Below are 22694 nucleotides of genomic sequence, written 5' to 3'. Positions count from 1 at the left end.
GGATGGTCTCGATCTCTTGACCTCGTAATCCAACCGCCTCAGCCTCCCAAAGTGTTGGGATTACAGGCGTGAGCAACCGCGCCTGACCAATGTACACAATTTAATGCCTGAAGTGAATGTGAAGAGTAAGACAGAAGGAAGAGGCAAAAATGATTCTAAGTTACAAGTCTAGGTGATTTGGTGTGTGTGGATACTGGCAATAGACATGAATAACATATCAAACCAGGGTCAGAAACAGATAGTGGTTTAAATCTGAATCATTAGTATTTAGAAAAAACTAAAAGTACCTTGAAATTTAGACTAATTTGGAAGCTGAGGCTAGAGTTAAGAAGGTTTTCATTTGAGCTACTATAAATTACTATTATTATTATGTATTTATTTATTTATTGAGACAGAGTCTCGCTCTATTGCCAGGCTGGAGTGCAGTGGCATGATCTCAGCTCACTGCAACCTCTGCCTCCTGGGTTCAAGCAATTCTCCTGCCTCAGCCTCCTGAGTAGCTGGGACTACAGGTGCATGCCACCACGCCTAGCTAATTTTTTTTTTTTTTTGGTATTTTTAGTGGAGATGGGGTTTCACCATGTTGGCCAGGCTGGTCTCTAACTCCCGACCCCAGGTAATCTGCCCACCTCAGCCTCCCAAAGTGCTGGGATTACAGGCGTGAGCCACCATGCCTGGCCACCTATCATTGTTAATACAAAGAATTTCTTCATCTCCTTATCCCAATCCAGTCTCAGTCTACCATGCCAGTGGATTCAATCCATTTGTCCCCAGCTCCTCAAACCTTTCTCCAAATGAAAGTCTGTGGAAATGTGTAAAGCAGAAAACTAGTAAACAAGAAGTTGCTTTGCTAAAGTGGAGATGGAGGTTTTCACAGTCTCCACTCCAAGTCTCAAAGTCCCTAAAGGGACGCCTTTGTGACTGTGAAATAGGTTACCCTTCTGAGTGACTATCTAAGGAATGGGGCAAAAGTTCTCAGCATTTTTTTTTTTTTTTGGCTCTTGGTACTCTGTATGTCCTAGAATTTTTTTCATGGAGAGCTTAAGCCAAAAGAAATACTTAAACCTTATGTTTATTTTAAAAAAGGAGAAGTATTAAGTATTCAGTATCTTAAGTATTAAAATCCAAATGAATTAATATTTGTCCTAACAACTTAGAAGCCATTTGAAAAGCTAATATATATTTATGGAGAGAAATTATATTTTACTTTCATTCTTAAATAAGTACAATTACCTGCTAATGGGGATATGTGTGCTTGCTGGGCTCCACGTATACTCTCAAATCTTTGAACCAGATTGGACACCATCATCTCTACATCTTGTTTCACATTGATTTCTTTGCTGTACTTACTTTTCATTGCATGGATAGATGAAAACCCAGCTTCATAAATGTAGTACATCATCAGAACAAATGTAATGCAATCTAATTTTAAAACTGTGAACTATCTTGAGCTAGTAGTTGGTGTGGTGTCTGCCAAATGTCAACTATTACTGTTTTCCTAGAAAATTTAAAATATCTGACAGCAACCTTGTGTGAGCACTGTGGCACTTTGAGGCACCTCTGCTAATACAATTGGGAAATCTAGGAACAGGGCCAAGAATCAACTCTTTGAGTCATAGGCCTGGCTCAGTTAACTAGCTCTGTAACATTGGGTGGTCATGTCAGCACACTCTATCGCAGTACCCTTATCACAGTGGAGGATAGCTGAACTTGTTAATTCCTTTCTAGCTTTCATGCTTATGATCGAAGGAGTTTTAATTCTGTCAGTGTTACTAAGAAAGCTTGGAAAGAGTTTGCTACCTTAAATAACAAATAGTCATTTTTCTGGGTCATTGTTTTGAAAGTGAGGACGGAACTGGTTTTGAATTCAGACATCTCATCCCTGCTACTCACCCCAACCTGTTAGTTCTGCAAACTCAGAATTCTCCTAGAAGAACTATGTAAGGAATTCTATGTATGCTTGGTGTCAGACCTGGGAGAGAGAGAGAATAAATGTTTGTATAATTTGATGCTTTCAGAAGAGCAAAATATCTCTATGAACACAGTTTTGCTTAATACATCAGGAAGCACTTGTAAGATTCTCTTTTCCTTTTGGGGGATACTAGCTTGGGGTAGATTGAAAAAAAAAGTGAGGTCTTTCCATTCAATATTTATAAAACCATGCAGGGCTTAGATAGAATGAAAACTGAATTGTTCATTAATTTTGACCAGAAAGAACGAATGAGTACTCTTTGGAATTTGGAGCAGGTCAAGTGAAAAGGAGCCATATGAAACAATTTTCTGTTCACTATCCAGGTGGAAAGAGAGAAAATAACTTTTTATATCTGTGGTTTTTATTGAACAGGAATTCTTACTTAATAATAAATCAAATTTTTCTTGTCTTACATTTGCATTGTGAAGTTTTATTTTAAAAGTGTTTTCCTGTTCCCAGGTAAACACTTTTAAGTAATAATATTACTTAAATATTATTAATAATAAAATAAGTAAAATATGTATTTATATTTTCTTTTAATAACTTTATAGTTTTACCTTTCACAGGTGGGCTTTTAATTCATCTATGACCCATCTTTGAATGTAACATTAGAGTTCTAGTTATTTCTACATACATAGTGAACCAGGTTTCCCACCACTACCTATCAAACCATCCTCCTTTCCCCATTGTTTATGGTACTCTCCTTATGTGTTATAGTAAATCTCTGTATATGCAGTAATTTGTCCCTTGGCTCTATATTGATATATTTTTTCTATTCTTGACCATTAAATGCACTGTTTTTATTATTATGACTCTGTAGTGTGTATTAGTACTTGATAGGGCAAATCCTCTGCCTTTAGTTTTCTTTTGGAAGGTTTATTTAGTTACTCTTGGACTTAGGGGCTGTCTTCGATTGTTTTGTGCTATAACAGAATACCTGAGACTGAGTATTTTATAATAAACAGAAATGTATTGGCTTATGGTTCAGGAGGCTTGGAAGTTCAAGATCGAGGGGCTGGTATCTGGTGAGGGTGTACTTATTGAATCATCTCATGGCATAAGGTAGAAGGGCAAGGGAGGGTGACAGAGAGGGGGTTGCTGGCAGGGGAGAAGAGGGAGAGAATAAAAAGGGAGCTGAGCTACCCATTTTATAACAAATCCACTTCTGAGATAATGATGTTAATTCATTCACTCCACCCTTGTGACTTAATCAGCTCTCATTAGGCCCCACCTCCCAACACTGTTGCATTGGGGATTAAGTTTATAACACGTTTTTCAGGGGATACACTTAAACCATAGCAGGGGGCAACACAGAGCATTGGAGAGGTAAGATGGAGTAGACAGACACTGTAGCATTCAGATAGAAGCAGGAGATTAGATGTGCACTAAGTGTGATGAAGGGATCTTTAAAAAATAGTGAGAACAAAAGCAAGAAACAGAATAGATGTACAATGTCATAACTTCCATAGAAATTTAGAAATATATATTTATATATAATATACCTAATCTTAAGAACACATTAAAACAACAACAACAACAACAACAACAAAACCTTATTAAACACGTTAGAATAGTTACCCTTATTGCGGGGGTAATGGTTGTGGATTTTGAGGATAGAATGGAAAAATTATTTTTAATAGTGTATAAAATAAAAATGAATTTATAATAAAGTGAGCCACATTTGAGATAAAAATACAATGATAATTAGAAACATAAAACCAGTTATAAATTTCCAAAAAAAAAAAAGAATCTAACTTTTCAGATTAGAGTTGGGGAAAAGCCACTTCTTTCCATAGCCTCCTTTTCTGGTGCACAGAAAAAAATAAAAACTAGGGGCAGAGCTGGGTTTCACTCCAAAAATCAGTTCCCCTAAACCAACACATCAGGGATTAAAGTCAGAAATTCCCACCAGGAGGGGCTGGGATCATTTGATCTTGTCTTTTATGAGTTATTGGTATTATCTGGGACCAGCTGGTTGGGAAATCTGTCCCAGAAAGCTCCTTGACTCTTGTAGGCCCTAAATATAAACATGCACATATCCCTGCCTGAGTCACTCAGCAATCCACTCGGCTTCAAAGAAAAGAGCATTTTGTTCAGGAGCTCAGTGCCCTGAGCAAGAGCTAAAAGCGTCCTCTTTTCTAATTGTCAATTATCTCTACACTCCAAGATAAACATTTCTCTTTTAACATCAGACTGGGCTGGAAGGTTCATTTAGGACATGGCTATTTGAAGGACTGGAGAAGGGGGGATGTGGGGGAATACAGAGAAAGCAAAGAGACAAAGTTTAAAATCAAGACACACAGTCTGCTTCTTCCGATATATCTCAAATATATTCCTAATTAGAGAATGCCAATGCAATAGCCTGAGATTCTAGAGAAGGAAGAGGTAGGTAGGTGACACAATTAAGTAAGTCTCCATTTGGAATAACTGCCGTTGGGATGGGTGGAGGGTGTTCCCTAAAGGATATTTTTTTCTCTAAAAAATTTTCTTTTATTTGAAGAAGGCCTGGAAGCATTTCATACATATACATGCAGACGCTCTTCGACTTACAATGGGATTATGTCCTGATAAACTCATCATAAAGCCAAAAAATTCTAAGTCTAACCATTGCAATTTGGGGACCATCTATATATGTGTATATGTATATACGTGTATACATATGTATATGTATGTGTATGTATATGCACACATATATGTATACTTTTAAAAGATGGTTTGGTATTTCTTGCTATGAAAGCAAAGCTTAGCTCAGAAACTTTCCAAAGACCCATTTTCTCTAGTTCATTTATGTAATTGATGAGATTGCAATTGACTTGACCGCACTTGACAGCAAGGCCAGAAATAATTGAATTCAGTACCTTCTGAAACCTGTTGTATTACCATGATTCAAAATAAGAAGAGAAGAGGATCTAGTAAGAAAGAATAGGAATGTTTATTTCTGTGTAACAAATAAGTAAGGCTAATACTGAAGGATTTTTCCCTGAAGTTAATCCTCCAGCAAGTATCTGCTTTGGAGGATAAAACAAAGTCAAATTCCTTTTGCCCATGTTCCCTCCCTTCCATTTTCTCCCCTGAGTGACCCTTTCCTCTTTCTCCTCTCCCATCCTTTACATCTCCGTTTGCCTGGCATTATTAAAATCCAGAAATCCATGTGCTAATTAGTGTGGTTATGATTTGCAACCTGTCCAATGATGCCAGGAAGTGAGACGCAACCTTTTCAAGTTTAGCAGCAACCATCTAACTCGAGTCAAAACAGAGAGATGTGTTCAGTTAATTTGGAAGGAGACGGTGATTGGGATTTGTATATTCAAAGTTCAATGATGACAGGTCACATTCAAGGGGGACAGACTGTGTGTTAAAATGCACCAATAAAGTCAGAAACTTTCTAGGCCAAGCAGAAGCAAGATTGTTTCTGTGGAATGAGCTGTTAAATGTGGAAGCCCAAGAGAATCAGGAAACCTGTTTTCAATCAGACACAAAGATTATTTCTACCTCTTTCCAGTTACAGTAATGAGATTTTTAAAAAGAGTAGGGGGGAGTAGTGAATACTTGATTGTCCAATTATTAGCCTAGATAGACTGTTAGTTTTGAGATGGTTTTTTTTTGTTGATAAAGGAAAAAAGAAAATATATGGGTTTTTGTTCTGGGAGCCACTGGGTGAATTTTGCCTCCAGAACTTCAGCCTTTTTGGCATGATGCTTTGACCACCAGTGCCCAGTTAGCATTCCATATGACTCTTTGGAGTCTGGACTGTTGCTTTAGCCAAAATGTGGATGTAAATAAGGGGAAAGTTCTGCTTATTCTGGCTTGGGAAGACAGAAGAACAGATTTGTGTGGCTGGCAAGGACTCATTCTAGGGTTAACACCCAAATGACAATGGCATTTGAAGAATCAGAATCTTTCATCTTAAAACTCCAGTAACCATTAAGTTTCTGGGCTGTCACAGAGAAACTTATTAGGATTGATGATTCTTAATTAGAGTATTCCTTTAATTAGTGCTTGAGCCATGGTTATTTACTAGAAGGCAATGTTTGCAAATCTTTTCTGTACAATATATAATATTTCTGAACAGTTCCATCTGTATTCTTAATAAAGAAGTAGTCCAGTTTCTCTAATATTATCTCTGAATATTAAGTTGTTCAGACTGTTTGAATGTCAGTGGAATATTGATACAATGTAGAAGTGTTAAGGAGTTTGAATAAAATATCATGTGTAATACAGCTAGCACACAGTGCATCCTTAATTAGCATTCTTTCAAATTCCATATCAATAGACTGAAATTTCTTTAAAGAGATAGACCAGGTCTTAATAGATTTGTATTCCCAATTTATAATACAACATCTAGTTCAGAGAAGGGGCTCAAGAAATGTTTATGGATTACTGAAAACATATGCCATATAATTCCGCCAGCTTTGAGTTCAAATTTTTCCATGGGCTTTGAATCTCTTGCATGATCCATTCAGCTTTTGTATTTTCTATTGTTATATCAAGTGGACATCGAATTAGTGTTTTTTTAATGGGCTTTGGTTCTAGTCATACTGCCTGTTAAACTAATGGCAAAGCTCTGGACTGGTCTTGATTTTGTTTCTACCAACCCATTCTTAGAGCCCACAATGACCAGTATTCTGGTGTTTACTTAAAAGGACAGTGGCCATTGGCCAACATGCAAATGTGATTGATGTTGATGTAATAACAGCAGAAGAATAAAGGACATCTTCACTTTGTCTCTATTTAAGGGCAGCCTTCTGGAAGCAGCTCACTGCTTCACTGTGCTGTAATGTCATTATTGGTAAGTCTACTTCTGCCAGTCAGGAATGGAAGTGATTGAGGGATGCACGACTTTTTTTACGCTTCTCCACCCCAGTCCACCAACACACACACAGACACACACACACAAACACACACACACACTCTCACATATACCCACATGCACATACACATACACATAGAGTAGACCTTCACTGCTAATTATGGCATAGTTTTCATCTGGTGGAACAAAAAATGCCAGCCAAGTGAGTCATATTCTGATTTATTGAATAAACACTTTCCATGTGAGAAGCAGAGAGAAAAATGAAACCATTGCCTGTTAGAGCTGGAAAAGGCTAGTGTTTCCAACACACTGGATGGCAGTTCTAAGTTGGACTGGCTGCCGCAGGATCACCTGGGGGAACTTTATAAAGAAACTGGCTTCCAGGTCCACCCTTGGAAGTTTTCAGCCAAAGCTGTCTTAATGATGCTGAGTTTGACCAGTTTAGGCAATAACTGTTTTTTCCAATCCTTTACTTTTACAGCAAAAAACATGAAAGCCCCGGAAGAAGTGACTTGTCCAAGTTTCTTTGGGAGTAAGATGAAGAGCTGAGAGAAGGGAAAGGAATGAATACTTAGTAAATGTGAGAGTTTAATGGATGCCTTATTCAGGGCCCTACATATTTGGTTTTATTAGCTCGTTACCATGGCCTTGGGAGAGAGGCATTAGAGAAGAGAGATAACTGAACTGCTCTAAGTTGATATTATATTGGCATGCTATGCTTTAGTTCCTGAGCCTGGGTTCTGTTCTGTTCAGAACCTTTGCTGGTTATGTTTGACTCCGTAATTCAGTGTTGTGAACATCTGGCCTCTGAGTTGATAGAATAGGTGGTTAGTTGCAGGTCAGTCCCCTACAACTAACTTTATTTCAAAATATTTCAATAAATAATTATTGAGAAAATACTGTGTGTAAGGCGCAATGTTAGGAACTTGGAGGTGAACATGAAGGACACAGTTTTTGTATTTATAGAGACTACAGTCTTGAGGGTGCTATGATAAAAGAAGCTATGCAAATAAAATGTGATGAGAGTTATGCTAGGAGAAATAAGAAGTGCTTTGAGCATAAGTAGCAAGAAAACTTAACCCAGACTCACGGCCAAGGGAAGCCTTCCCAAATCTGACTGCTAGAAGATGAACAGGAGTTAGCTAGGTGAAAAATGGTGAAGCAGGAACATGGGCTCAGAGGGGGAGATGTTTCATAAGAGGAAACAGCATTTGTGAATTCCAGGAGTCTAGACATTGTGTGAAGAGTTCACATTTGACCAGTTCAAGGAACTGAAAGAACCTTATTATTTTTGGGAAGAGAGGAAGAGAGGCTAGATGTGAGGAGGTAGGAAGCCTCCAGATGGAGAAAAGCCACGAAAACCCCATTAAGGTCTTTGGATTTTATCCCAAAGCATTGCTAAGCCGCTGAAGTTTCCCAATCCTGTAAAAATGATCTGGGGATTAAAACCTGGGTGTAATGTAAACAGGTTTATAGTTTGGAAGATGCTTTGATGGCAGTACTAGTGATGGATAGTGGTAGATTGAGCTTGCAGGCAGGGATGCCAGTTAGGAGACTATTTCATTAGGAGACCAAAGCTGTGTTTGTTATTCATCCTTGGAGTTTCAGCACCTAGCACACTGCCAGGTAGCTAATACATACCAAGTAAATATTATTTGAATGAACAGATGTGGAAATAAACATTCATTGGTAAAACCATCCACCAAATATTTCTTGCTTATTCTGGCTTCTTCTCTTTGTTCAGTCTTTCCCCTTTCCCCAGGTATACATAGGTTTTTATTTTAAATCTACCTGATTAAATACTTACCACACATTTATGTTCAACTTAAGACTAGCTGCTTCTTGAAGCCTTTCAATTTTATTTATTTCCTACCCCGTTTAAACCTTCAGGACATTTTACAATGTATGATATTGTTCCATGTGGGTGAATTTTCAGCTGCTTCTTAATTTAATTCAGTATTTTTTTATATATGAAGGCAAATTATCTATCTATCTATCTATCTATCTATCTATCTATCATCTGTCTATTATCTGTCTTTAAGGCTAGGAGGCTTGGATGAGCTAGACTCTTTCATGTATGGTTATGAAAGTATACAATCCCTTCCTGAAAAGCAAATATGGTTATATATGCACACACATATATATTTCCATATATATATATACACACACACACACATATAATTTATATCACAATTTGCTTATACCGTTTGACTCAGAAATTTTTCTACCAGGAATCTCTGCAAAGTAAATTGGTAGAAATGACAATAAAAATGTACGGTCAAGTATATTTATCTCTGCCTTTTGTGATTTTCAGAAATTAGAGACAACCTAATTAAGCACGGGAAGAGGAGAGGTTAAATAAATCACACTATATTCATGTGTGAAATATGTAGAAATATGATTTTGGGGAAAGTTAACAAGGAATGGTATTTGAAACAGTGAAGTTATGAGCCAATAATATGGATTTTTTTCTATATATTCTAATATTTCTACAATTATAGTTAAACTACCAATACAAATATTATGTCAAACAACTATTTTCTGTTCTTTTCTACTGCAAATTGCCCATAGTTGGCAAATAGGACTACCATTCACCATTTAGAGAACTCTTCACACGCCTTCCTGGCAGCCACTGCAGAAAAAGAAGCAAGCTTCCAAGCCAGGCCCTTTGAAAGGAGGGGAGATGGCTTTCTCTTCCTCTTTCCTACTCCAGGCCAGCCTTTGGAGGGCTGCCATCCTCACATTTGACTGAGCCAAATCTTCAACCCACCTGTCCAAGCACCAGGCTGCTCACTTCTGATTTACCTCCTCTAGATGTTCTGGGGAGTGAAACGCTGACAGGCTGTGGCTATGGCACTGGATGACACAGCAACCTGGGAGTATCTCTGCACAGGATTCCAGAGCTGAGATTTGCCAAACTGTTCATCTTTTTCATCTTGGCAATTGTTTATGCTCTAAAACCAATTACTGCAGGCCAAATGCGCATCCTCTCTTCCTCTGAAGAATTATATTAGACCTGGTTCTTGTCTCATTCAACTGCATTGGAACATTCCTATTCCCATAAAGCTCAATCCATTGATGGCCTGTCCTACTTTGGTGGGAAACAAATGCTAGGAGAGTTGTTATCACATCCCATAAATGTCTGGGATGAAAGGCCCTGAAGTGCAAAGTATATTGTGGTTATCTCTTGGGTGGGGAAAAATCTCTCTAATGCAAAACAGCAGCGGCAACACAGCTAGATGGCAGGAACCTCTGTCAGGAACAAATTTCCTCATCCCTCTGGAAGACAATGACTGATTTCTCATAGGCCTCCCCTGACATGACACTAAGAGTGAAGATATTTGTTTTAGTGTCTCCCATCTGCAATGTTCTATAGGTCCCAAGTATATATTCTGACTGGCTCCCTAAAAGAAAACCAGGCAGCACATGCAGAGCTTGGACACTGTGCTGGACTGACTTTTCATGTTGTCTTAGAGAGAGAGTCTTGCTATATTGCCCAGGCTGGGCTCAAACTCCTGGCCTCAAGTGATCCTCCCACCTCAGCCTCCTGAGTAGCTCTGATTATAGGCATGGGCCACCATGCCTGGCTCTACACTGTTTTAAGATCTGTGAATATGTTACTTCCTTTAAGTCTCACAACAACCCTGTGTAGTAGGTACTATCATGATAATTACTTCATTTTGACTTAATTTTTTTAAGAGATGGGGTCTTGCTGTACTGCCCAGGCTGGTATCAAACTCCTAGCTTCAAGCAGTCCTCCTATGTCAGCCTTCCACAGTGCTGGGATTTACAAGCATGAACCACTGTGACCAACCACCTCACTTTACAAATGAAAAAAACTACGGCACAGAGAGGTTGACTGCCCAAGGTCACATAGGCCATAATTAAAGAGCAAGGATTCAAGTTCTGGCAGTCTGACCCAGGTCCCCACACTAACCACCATGCTATATTAAATTAAGACATGCAAAATGCTTAGAGCAATACCTGGCACACTGTGAGTACAAAATAAGTATTATCTACTATCAGTTCTTTTTAGTAATTCAGGGCAGTCACCAACTTTCTGTTTCAACTTGATATGCCCATGGAAGTGATTCAATCCTTTGAGGGGAATTGAAAAAATCCCATCAACCCAGAAATGAATGCATATTTAGCATCCTTGGGCTGGATACTCAGGGGCTATATATGAGAAGGAACTTAAAGTTGATACAGTCTTGAACTTCACAGACAACAGAAGTGCAAGATATGTCAAGCTGAGGTCCTCATCCTTGGCTCTACAATTTAGTGGACCTTCAAAACTCTTTGTTTTCTTCTTGATTCAAGGAAGTTACAGATAGGGGAGGATGAGGAGGCCAATGATGAATGAGAAATATCTACGCATAGCCTTTGGGGCACTTGGTTTTCTCGCCCATCACACACATATTTAATTCTTAGGCTGTACATTTTTTTATCCTATATTTTAATGAGATAATCTTTTTTTTTTTTTTTGAGATGGAGTCTCACTCTGTCACCCAGGCTGGAGTGCAGTGGCACGATCTCAGCTCACTGCAACCTCTGCCTCCCAGGTTCAAGCGATTCTCCTCCCTCAGCCTCCCTAGTAGCTGGGATTACAGGTGCCTGCCACTACGCCCGGCTAATGTTTTGTATTTTTAGTAGAGACAGGGTTTCACCATGTTGGCCAGGCTGGTCTCTAACTCCTGACCTCGTGATTCACCCACCTTTGTCTCCCAAAGTGTTGGGATCACAGGTGTGAGCCACTGTGCCTGGCCATGAGGTAATCTTTCGTTTGACAACCTTCTGATAGTAATTTAACTAAATTTCATGTGGAATATTAATAAATATATTTGCTCCAAGGTGGGACTGGGAGAGAAGCACACAGTGTTATACTCCCTCCACTCTGATACACAGTAGGGAATAATCAAGGTGAAGTTTGTGGTTTATATGAAAAACAGGTATGCACATACATCTATTACTTAACAATATGGGACAGACTATTGATTTAAATGCCATGAGCATAAGTAATAAGTGTTTTGGCATTCTATAGAATGACTACTTGATATGCCACAGATATGATTCATGAGAGATATTTTTCCTTGGTGGTAGCAGGTTTGGTGTACATAATAAAATGATTTTTTTTTTAAAGAGTTGCCTTGAGAAGAATTTTAGCCCATTCTTAAAGAAGGATTGTGTATTGCTTAGGAAAGATTACAGTAACACAACAAAATCTCAAAATCTTAGTGACTTTTAAGCACAGACGTTTGGCTCTTACTCACTCTATCTACTTGAAGTCTCTGCTCAGTCTCAGGCTCAGTCTAGACTGAGTCTAATAGTGTGACCATTATCTGGAGTGTAGATATGAAGCACCAGAGAGAAAGATAGACCATCGGAGGGTCTGCAACTGACAATTAATTTTCTTCTCTGTAAGGGATACAAACCACTTTCACTCAAAAGTCACTGGCCAGAACTATACACAAGATCCTAGGAAATGTAATCCTCTCTTGTACCAGAAGAATAGAGAAGCAGACATATTTGATGAATAATAGAACCATTGACTACCACAGATGGGCAGCATTTAGGTAGGAGACAATGAGTAGGGAGGGTGAGAGCACCTAAGATCTATTGGAAAAAACCATTGAGAAAACTCAACATGAAGAGACATAAAATGAACTAATTTGTAAAGATGTGTGGGGCTAGATTGGGAAAGTTGTAAATAGCAGGCTAAGGAGGTTTGCCTTTTACACATGTACCAATGATTCTCAAACTCGTTTTTGCCAAGAAAGACAATTTGAAAGCAATTTATGTAGATTCCTATATGTAAAATAGAGGAAACGAACGATCATCTCTGGTGGAAGAGGAGACAAAAGAGCCTTGAAGTTCCCCTTAGCTTCCTCCCTCTATGGGACTCCCATGGATCTTTGCAACACAGATTAAAACCTACAGCTTTAGGATCTTAAAACACTGCCTGGCACATTTCACTACTGAAGAAATGGTAAGTCCTGAGTCAAAGCCATGGTTGGTAACTATCGATTAATTAAAAAGATAGATTAGAATGAGGGAGAAAGTGAGAATAAAGAATTTAATAAAGGTTATAAAATAGTAAGATCCTTGAATCTGGGCATTGACAAGGGTGAATGTGTGTCAAAGAAATATTTGAACAAACTGGTGATTAATTGAACTTGAGGGTTCATGGAAAGGGCGGAGTCAAAGACAGGAATGTGTTCAAGGCTTGTAAACGGAGGGAATAATGGAGCAATGGATGTTAATATCAAGATGAACAGAAGAGTTTTACGGGTTTAGCCAACAAGTATTCATTTAGTGGCTATTTAATAAAATGAAGTGCTTTGGAGAAAATATAAATTTAATGTTAAATATATTAGCTTTAGCGGGCAGCAGTTTATCCTCAAATGCCTAATACACAGTTGAAAAAATGACACTGGCACAATGGAGAATCCAGGGCTGAAGGTGTGTCTTGGGACAGTCACAGAGAAATGAAGTGGGGTTCACTGGGATTGATAATTATAAGCATAGGCTCATTATACATTTGATTCAAAAAGAGATTCAATGAATGGGATGAATCTTGTCTTTAGTGTCACTAAAAATATGCTAATCTCTGTAAAGTTTGGTATGAATGAAGAAAATGAGGACAAACTCACAAACTCACAAAACTTCTCAAATGTACAAATTCACAAAGCTGAGGCATACTGAAAAATTTATTCCTCTGGTGGCTTGGATGGCAAGTTCAGCTTTATGGTTCTGAATAATTCAGAATTCAGATGACTTAAATTTTCCTCCTATTTGTGGTCCAAGAGAGTTCCCCACATTGGAGCAAAGTGTCCTAGCTTGAAGCAGAAAAGTGGGTCTGCCTTATAATGGCCAGTATAGCCCTTGGACTTGCAAGGGATAATAAATGAGCAAATAAATGAGGAAAAAGAACTCACTCATATGTTTCCAGCGATTAAGTTATCAAAGATCTTTCAGAAGTTGAACCTTCTTTTCAACTCTGAGAGTTGGACTGTGCTCCTTTCTCTGCCTGCCCAGCTTCTTAGCTGAGCTTGGGGTACAGTTTTTTTTGACACCCTAGTCTTCTGGTCTCATGAAGATGGAGAGTAGAGGAACAAACCCAGGGACCCCTCGCATTTAAAATTTCCGACTCTTTGGTTGTAACCCCAAAACTTCTACTGAACTATCCAAGGTCATGATATTTCATTATAAAAATGAGAAAATGAGGCCTCAAAGAGATTAAATAACAGGTTGTGTAGCTAATATAGAATAAGACTAGAATCTAACTCAGTTTTGACTCCAAGTTCCATGCTCTTAATTTTTAATATAGATTTCCCTAGGAGAGTTCATGAATCTTTAAAATCCACAACCCTAAGCAGTATATTTCTTGGTTCCTGTCCCAGTCAGAGATTGGCTTGAGAAATTCTGTTCTTTTGGAGAAGAATGTTCTTAATGGTGACAAGTATGTATTTTGAATTTATGCCTATTCTTTGGTTCATCAAAATTTAGAATCCTTGTTTATAAATAGACTCTTAGATTACCATGCCACTGTGTCTTATTTTCAAAATTTCCTAGAGTGAACATTCTAGCCACAAAAAGGCCATCATCCCATCAGCTCTAAAATTACTCCAGGCCTTTATTCAACTTCTGCTCAGGGCCTGCAGGGAAGGTCAGGGAAGGCTGTTGCTGCCTCTCCCTCTCAAGTGCCCCCTAATGAGAAGGGAGTGGTGTCATCTAAGGGCCAAATCATCTCTCAAAAACTTATTAGCTCTCCAGCTGTGACTGCCTCTACAACCTTTGTGTATATCTATCTGCCTCTCACAAACTGGGGCTTAGAGAATGCTTTGTGGGTTCACATAAAATGGTTTGCTAACCTGCTATTTCTTTGTCCTATAAGCTATTTTCCTTAATGAAAAGATAGCACTATTTTATTCCTTGAGCTGTAGACCAGGCCCACCACAATCTGCTTTGCAAACTCATCAGCTGGAGATTAGAACACCTGGCTTCCACTCATATTCTGCCCAGGATGTTTATCACATTTCATGAGCCACTCATTAAGTCTCCCAGCATAATGGTGTGTCCGGAATTGGTGGGTTCTTGGTCTCACTGACTTCAAGAATGAAGCCGCGGACCCTCGCGGTGAGTGTTACAGCTCTTAAGGTGGCGCGTCTGGAGTCTGTCCCTTCTGATGTTCAGATGTGTTCGGAGTTTCTTCCTTCTTGTGGGTTCCTGGTCTCGCTGGCTCAGGAGTGAAGCTGCAGATCTTCGCGGTGAGTGTTACAGCTCATAAAAGCAGCGTGGACCCAAAGAGTGAGCAGTAGCAAGATTTATTGCAAAGAGTGAAAGAACAAAGCTTCCCCAGTGTGGAAGGGGACCCGAGCGGGTTGCCAATGCTGGCTCGGGCAGCCTGCTTTTATTGTCTTATCTGGCCCCACCCACATCCTGCTGATTGGTAGAGCCGAGTGGCCTGTTTTGACAGGGCGCTGATTGGTGCGTTTACAATCCCTGAGCTAGATACAGAGGTTCTCCATGTCCCCATCAGATTAGTTAGATACAGAGTTTGGACACACAGGTTCTCCAAGGCCCCACCAGAGCAGCTAGATACAGAGTGTCGGTTAGTGCATTCACAAACCTTGAGCTAAACACTGGGTGCTGATTGGTGTGTTTACAAACCTTGAGCTAAACACTGGGTGCTGATTGGTGTGTTTACAAACCTTGAGCTAGATACAGAGTGCCGATTGGTGTGTTTACAATCCCTGAGCTAGACATAAAGGTTCTCCAAGGCCCCACCAGAGCAGCTAGATACAGAGTGTCCATTGGTGCACTCACAAACCTTGAGCTAAACACAGGGTGCTGATTGGTGTATTTACAATCCCTGAGCTAGACATAAAGACTCTCCACGTCCCCACCAGACTCAGGAGCCCAGCTGGCTTCACCTAGTGGATCCCACACCGGGGCTGCAGGTGGAGCTGCCTGCCAGTCCTGCGCAGTGAGCTCGCATTCCTCAGCCCTTGGGTGATCAATGGGACTGGGCGCCGTGGAGCAGGGGGTGGTGCTTGTCGGGGAGGCTCGGGCAGCACAGGAGCCCATGGAGTGGGTGGGAGGCTTAGGCATGGCAGGCTGCAGGTCCCGAGCCCTGCCCCGCGGGAAGGCGGCTAAGGCTCCGTGAGAAATCGAGCGCAGCGCCGGTGGGCTGGCACTGCTGGGGGACCCAGTACACCCTCCGCAGCCACTGGCCCGGGTGCTAAGTCCGTCGTTGCCCGGGGTCGGCAGGGCTGGCCGGCTGCTCCGAGTGCGGGGCCCGCCAAGCCCACGCCCACCCGGAACTCCAGCTGGCCCGCAAGCGCTGCACGCAGCCCCGGTTCCCGCTCGCGCCTCTCCCTCCACACCTCCCTGCAAGCTGAGGGAGTGGGCTCCAGCCTTCGCCAGCCTAGAAAGGGGCTCCCACAGTGCAGTGGTGGGCTGAAGGGCTCCTCAAATGCCGCCAAAGTGGGAGCCCAGGCAGAGGAGGTGCCAAGAGCAAGCGAGGGCTCTGAGGACTGCCAGCACGCTGTCACCTCTCAATGGGATCTGGGATTGGAAAGAGCTTTGAAGGTCTTCTACCCCATCTTTCTGTCTATTGATTGAATATCCTCTACTTTAGAGATGTTCTTTTTCATCTTGCTATAAATGGAATGCAACCACCCCAGCCCCTCCCCAGGGGAGCTTTTGGGCTTCGAGTTGGGCTGCTGTTGAGTTTTGGTGGCAGTGCCCAGGAGTATCCGATTTGGAAGGAAATGAATATGATTCAGCTGTGAAAATTACAAGTTAGATTTTGGCTTTCAGGCCATTGTGTATTTTTAGAACCAGAGGAGAATAAAATAAACATTATTTTAGGCCTAGTACAGATTATTAATATTATATTCAGGAAAAAAAAAAGCCTTCCTGGTGATTGGTTGAAATAATTTCTCCTAAATATAAATTTTCCCAACTGTGCTAATTTTCTCCAGGATAATATTACAAATCGTATTGATTAATGCCCACCCCCTTTTTGTAACGATTTCTTTGAGATTGGGAGTAGGGAACTGAATGAGTTCACTTTATTATAGCTACTTTGCCAACCGAAAGCCACTTGAGAGGAGAGACGTTTGTCTTCATTGTTACGTCATCTCCTGTGTAGCACAGTGGCTGGCACCACGTAGGAGGACAAATCATGCTTGTGGAGTGAGTGAATAATCAGAAAGCGTAGGTCCTGATAATAGAAGTTAATGACTGAAGTATCTACACTTATTTATTCCCTAACATCCCTTGGGCACTTAACTCTTAGTTAGATACTGTTTAAAACACTTAAAAAGTATTACCTCACAATTACTCTATCCTAAGGTAGCAACTCTATGATCCCAGGTTTATCATTGTGCCACAGGCTTAGGAGGGAGGTCTGAACAAAAATGCAAGAAAAAGGAACTTCTGTCCTCCAAGCCACGTCGTGGTAAAGATGCAGCATACCTCTCAGAAATTTAAGTTAATAGAAACAAGCACTACATGCTAATGTACATGGAATGTGTGACTAACAGAGAAAAAGTGATACTGTGAGGATGTAAAAAGTGAGCTAACTCGAAAAGTCCTCAAGAAGTAGTGTTAATGGTGAGTATGTCTATGCGATAGCTCCTTCCGGACTTGCTGCACAAACAAAAAGGTATAATGATTTTGGTCCGGGTGGCGTTTTGGTGACCTTCTAATGTCATCATGCAGACTGACAGCCAAATCACCATTCATCCACCATCTGCTGAGCTGGGAATGCTGGTGAGGTTGAGTGAGGTTTGTCAAAAAGTTGCCCACCCTATTGTAAATGAGAAAGCAGCCAGGAAGGCCGCAACAGGCAAGGAAGTAAATGGCAGCGATTAACTTCAGAACACAAAGGGAACCCCTAGTGGGCTAAGTGGGTTAATGCATTTTCCTGACTTGGCTGTTAGTAAAATCTAATTAAATCAGATGCTACTAATTTGAAACTCTTGCTTATTTGGACCAGCCTGAGCTAAATGTTGCTTCTACTCTTGCTAGGAAGGAAAAGGTTTTCTTAGCAAATTACTGGGGTAAACAAGATTGCAGATAATTAAAGTGCTTAATAGAATAGTAGAGAATCAAATTTGCAAGAAAACAATCATTGTGCTATTTTTAAAATGTTCTTACCTGTTCATTAAAGCAGGCCATTAAAGGATCTCTGCTTCTTCACACTTCGTTAAGCTGGTTTGAATTGTTATGTTTACTAGACAGTGAAGAGAAAGGACTTCTCTAATTCCTACTGGCCTCTTCATAGCCCAGTTAAGTCCGAATTAATGACATTTTTTTTATGGGCAATCTAAGAGAGTCATTTTAGAGAGATTGTTAGACTTGTCCCTTTCTTACTGGAGGTTGAACTGGGAGTCTGCAGAAGCCACAGTACACTACACAAATTTCTACATAGAGTCTTATGAAGGAAACATTCATGGCCGTGATTTCCCAAATAGAGACAAGTGGTTAGGACCCATGGTGGAGCATCATCTTCATGAGTATTATTAACTCCTTGGTTCCTGGGAAGAGAATGGAAGAAAAGAAATGAGCTAGACTCTGTAGAGGAATTTCAAGTTCATGTGGGAGAACTACAAGCATCTGTAGTTGGCACTTTTAAAATGGGCTCTAAAAAATTAAAGGTTAAAGAGATTTGCCAACTATCTCTTATTTTTATACTTGTTTTAAAGTGTCTTATTTTAGTCTAATGATCATGTGAATCTAAAGCAAAGACATTCTGGATATTTTGGATGTTTGGATGGCTACTTAATTACCTACTCGCAATATTCATAGCTTTCTTTCTATTTGTGTTTATTATTGCAGTAATACAAAGAACTATCTAATGCTTACCAGTAATAAGAAAAAAAAATACAGAGGTATAAAAAATATATAAATTGTGTGCTCCCACCATAAGAAGGCAAACGGCATCCCTAAGAGCTGTGCAAATAAAGCCTTCCTGGAATTTGAATAGAGAAAAAAAACGGTGTGAGGATCGAGTCACCTGTGGCACATTGTAATAAATTTGTTGAACTGCATTGGAACAGAGCATACAGTATGCACATTGTGAGCAATGATATAATTCCAACAAAATGATATCACATTAAATTAATGTTGTTAATTTTAATTTTATTGGTTTTCTTTGAATTCGTTTGCACATTTGTTTGGTTTTTATAGTTCTATAAGAGTCAGAAGCATAAGGGATTTATAGGTAGTTTATGTATATTCATATTTAAGTAACATTTTAATAAATATAATTTAAACCAATACTGGGAGTTCAACAGTACTTTATTATTATTATTATTATTTTTATTTTTTATTTTTTTGAGACAGAGTCTCGCTCTGTTGCCTAGGCTGGAGTGCAGTGGCGCGATCTCGGCTCACTGCAAGCTCTGCCTCCCGGGTTCACATCATTCTCCTGCCTCAGCCTCCTGAGTAGCTGGGACTACAGGTGCCTGCCACCAGGCCCGGCTAATTTTTTTGTATTTTTATTAGAGACAGGGGTTTCACCGCGTTAGCCAGGATGGTCTCGATCTCCTGACCTTGTGATCTGCCCGCCTCGGCCTCCCAAAGTGTTGGGATTACAGGCGTGAGCCACTGCGCCCAGCCTAAGAGTACTTTATTTTTTAAAAGGAAGTTGGAGAACTAATGATCTATAGAACCACAGATTATTGGAAATTGAGAACTTGGAGATCACTGATCTAGTCCAGTGTTTCTGAAACGGGGTTCCAGGGAACCCTGTATTGAGAGGTGTTCCTAGGCATGCCAAAAAAAACCAGACAGGGGTTTCTATAATCAAATAAGCCCTGAAAAAACAGAGCAGTATCTTCCTCTTGAAGATTCGCAGTACTTCTTTATGAAATAAAGTCTCAGCAAGGGCCAGTGATAAAGAAATCAGGCCGATTTTGTTCAAAGCAGCATTTCTCAATCTTATCAGCACCCGAAACCCCTTGCTATAGAGGACCTGCTCCCATCCCGCAGGTCCAGGCCCTCATTTCACAGAAAAGGCAATGGAGAGGATATAGAGGGTGGAAGAGTGCCCCACCCTCCAAAATTCATGTTTACCTGGAATCTCAGATGTGACCTTATTTGGAAGTAGGATCCTTGCAATAAAATTAAGATAAGGTTGTAATAATTAATTTTATGTGTCAACTTCCTTGGGCTTCAGGGTGCCCAGATATTTGGTCGAACATTATTCTGGGTATTTCTGTGAGGATGTTTTTGGATGAGCTTAACATTTAAATGAATAGACTGAGTACAGCAAATTGCCCTGCCTGATGTGAATGGGCCTCATCTATTCAGTTGAAGGCTGAACTAGAACAAAAAGGCTGACCATCCCTGGAAAAAGGGTGAGTTCCTCTTGCCTGACTGCCTTCCAGGTGAAGCACTGGTTTTTCCCTTTCTTTGGACTCAAACTGAAACATTGGCTTTTCCTGGCTCTGGAGCCTCTTGGCCTTTGGACTAGAACTACATTATCACCTCTCCTGGTTCTTCGACTTGCCCACTGCACATCTCGGGATTTGTCAGCCCTCATAATCAAGTGAGCCAATTCCTTAAACCTCTTTCTGCATGTAGATATATACATCCTAATGGATCTATTCCTCTGGAGAGTCGTGACTGATAGAGGGGTCATATTGGATTAAGGCGGGCCCTAAATCCAATGCTTAGTGTCTTTATAAGAAGAGAAAACAGAGACACAGAAAAGACAATCGGGGAAGAGGTCCCATGTGATGACAGTCAAGGATTGGAGTGATGCACTTACAAGCAGAAGAATGCTGCAAACTGGACTGCTGCAACCAGCAGAAGCTAAGAGGAAGCATAAATTCCCCTTCTGAGGTTCCAGAAGGAACTAATGCTACTGACGCCTTAATCCTGTACTTCTGGCTTCCTGAACTGTGAGATAATTTCTGTTGTTTGAAGCCACTCAGTTTGTGGTAATTTGTTATGGTAGCACCAGGAAACACACACACACACACACACACACACACACACACACACAAACACAGAGACAGAGAGGTGAAGTGGCCTACCCACTAGCAAAGGCAGGACTAGAGACCAAGTCTCTCCATTTGCAGCCAGTACTCCTTTCATTGCATCTATTCATTTATTTTTATCCCTATTTTGTTCCAGAAAAAAAATACACATACCATTTTTTTTCCTTCAGGCAAATAAATACAAGAACTAAAACCAAAATACAAACAACTTACAACAGAGAAACAAGCTCATTTCTAGAAGCAACAGAGCCCTAATTATCTGTATAAAATCTAACTATACTGCCATACGAGAAACTAGATTTTCCCAAGAGTAAGACTATCTATAGAATGTCAGAACTGATGTTAGATGTGTAGATGTTTGTGACAATTATTTTATTTTAGAGAGATATTTTTATAGATCTAGTGTATTAGTTTCTAGTTACTGTTTTAACAAATTACTACACACTTAGCAGCTTAAAACAACATGAATTCATTCATTCATTCATTCATTCATTCATTTAAATTATGAAGGCCAGGAGTCAAAAATCAGGCGCTGTGTGCTAAAATCAAGGTGTCAGCAGGGCTGGCTGTTTCTTCTGGAGGCTCTAGGGAAAATCTGTGTCTTTGCCTTTTTGGCTGTCCACATTCCTTGACTCATGACCCTGCATCGCTCTGACCACCACTTCTAGCATCAACATTTCCTTTACACCTGTGACTCGTCTGTCTCCCTCTTATAAGGATCCCAATGATTACTCAGCTGATTCTGGATAATATCCCTATGTCAAGATCCTTAACATAACCATACCTGCATACTCCCATTTGCTATGTAGGGTCACATATGGAATGCATAAGGTTCTGGGGATTAGGCTGTGAGTATCTTTGGTGGTAGGACTCTGATAAGAATTCAGAGTGGTATGAGCCCCATGCGTTACGCCATTATGAAATAATCATAAAAGTAGACTTATAAGGTATAATAAAAGTAGCCTTTTAATTCAAGGTCCTTCTCAGATTTCCAGGGTGTACAAAGTCCACATAGGCTTCAATTATGCTTTGAACTATACATAGTGACAAAAAATATAGAAAGCAGAAGTTTAGGAAATACGTTATTGTAAATCGGGTTTTGTTATTGCTTTAGTTCCACAAGAAAACAAAATATCCATCAATGGAGCTCAGTCGCATCGCCGTCTCTCTGTGATGATCCTAGCCACTCTCCAGGCACAGCAATGGTTTTGTCTATAGAGATCTTGTGAATTTGAGAAGGAACCCAATCCAATATTGCTCCTTGAGAATGAGATAAGGATATTTTTGTTTGCTCATAAACTTGTGAAGGACAAGGATGTCTATGCTATTTAAAAGTCTTTGCAGGCAGGGTGCGGTGGCTCATGCCTGTAATCCCAGCACTTTGGGAGGCTGAGGCAGGCAGATCACCTGAGGCCAGGAGTTCAAGACCAACCTGGCCAACGTGGCAAAACCCCATCTCTACTAAAAATACAAAAAATTAGCCAGGTGTGGTGGTGGGCACCTGTAATCCCAACTACATGGAAGGCTGAGGCAGGAGAATGGCGTGAACCCAGGAGGCAGGCAGAGGTTACAGTGAGCTGAGATTGTGCCACTGCACTCCAGCCTGGATTACAAGAGTGAAACTCCATCTCAAAAAAAAAAAAAAAAACTCTTCACAGATTACTAAAGCCTGTCATATAGGATATGTCAGATAATTTTGCAATAAGGCAGACAGGTAAAATGGAGTAATAATTTTATCTCCTTTTACATCTGAGAAAATTGGGGCCCAGAAGAGCTATGGGAATTGCCCAAGGCCACACGTTTACGAAGTAGTGGATCTGGGACTAATACCCAGATTTCCTGATTACAACTCTCAGGTTGTTCTTTAGATCATCCTAAAGGATATGTCAGAAATCAG

General features: G+C 40.2%; 1 long non-coding RNA gene across 1 annotated transcript, besides 1 other annotated feature; it reads left to right on the top strand.

Moving 5' to 3' along the window:
• Positions 1-16939: 16939 nt before the first annotated feature.
• On the top strand, positions 16940-18930 carry LOC124904290 (uncharacterized). The gene is made up of 2 exons (XR_007066347.1): positions 16940-17402; positions 18630-18930. It is a non-coding gene; the product is annotated as an uncharacterized LOC124904290 (long non-coding RNA).
• Positions 17335-17836: an enhancer, noted in NCBI's record as "NANOG hESC enhancer chr18:42159022-42159523 (GRCh37/hg19 assembly coordinates)". NCBI's record gives its function as "activates a minimal SCP1, AML or CMV promoter by ChIP-STARR-seq in primed H9 embryonic stem cells {active_cell/tissue: H9 hESC(primed)}" and the evidence as "EXISTENCE:reporter gene assay evidence [ECO:0000049][PMID:30033119]".
• Positions 18931-22694: the final 3764 nt, after the last annotated feature.

Source organism: Homo sapiens, chromosome 18 (assembly GCF_000001405.40).
Source record: "Homo sapiens chromosome 18, GRCh38.p14 Primary Assembly".
Taxonomy (NCBI): Eukaryota; Metazoa; Chordata; class Mammalia; order Primates; family Hominidae; genus Homo; species Homo sapiens.
Note: the sequence above shows the minus strand (reverse complement) of the source record. Positions and strands in the feature narration are given on the sequence as shown.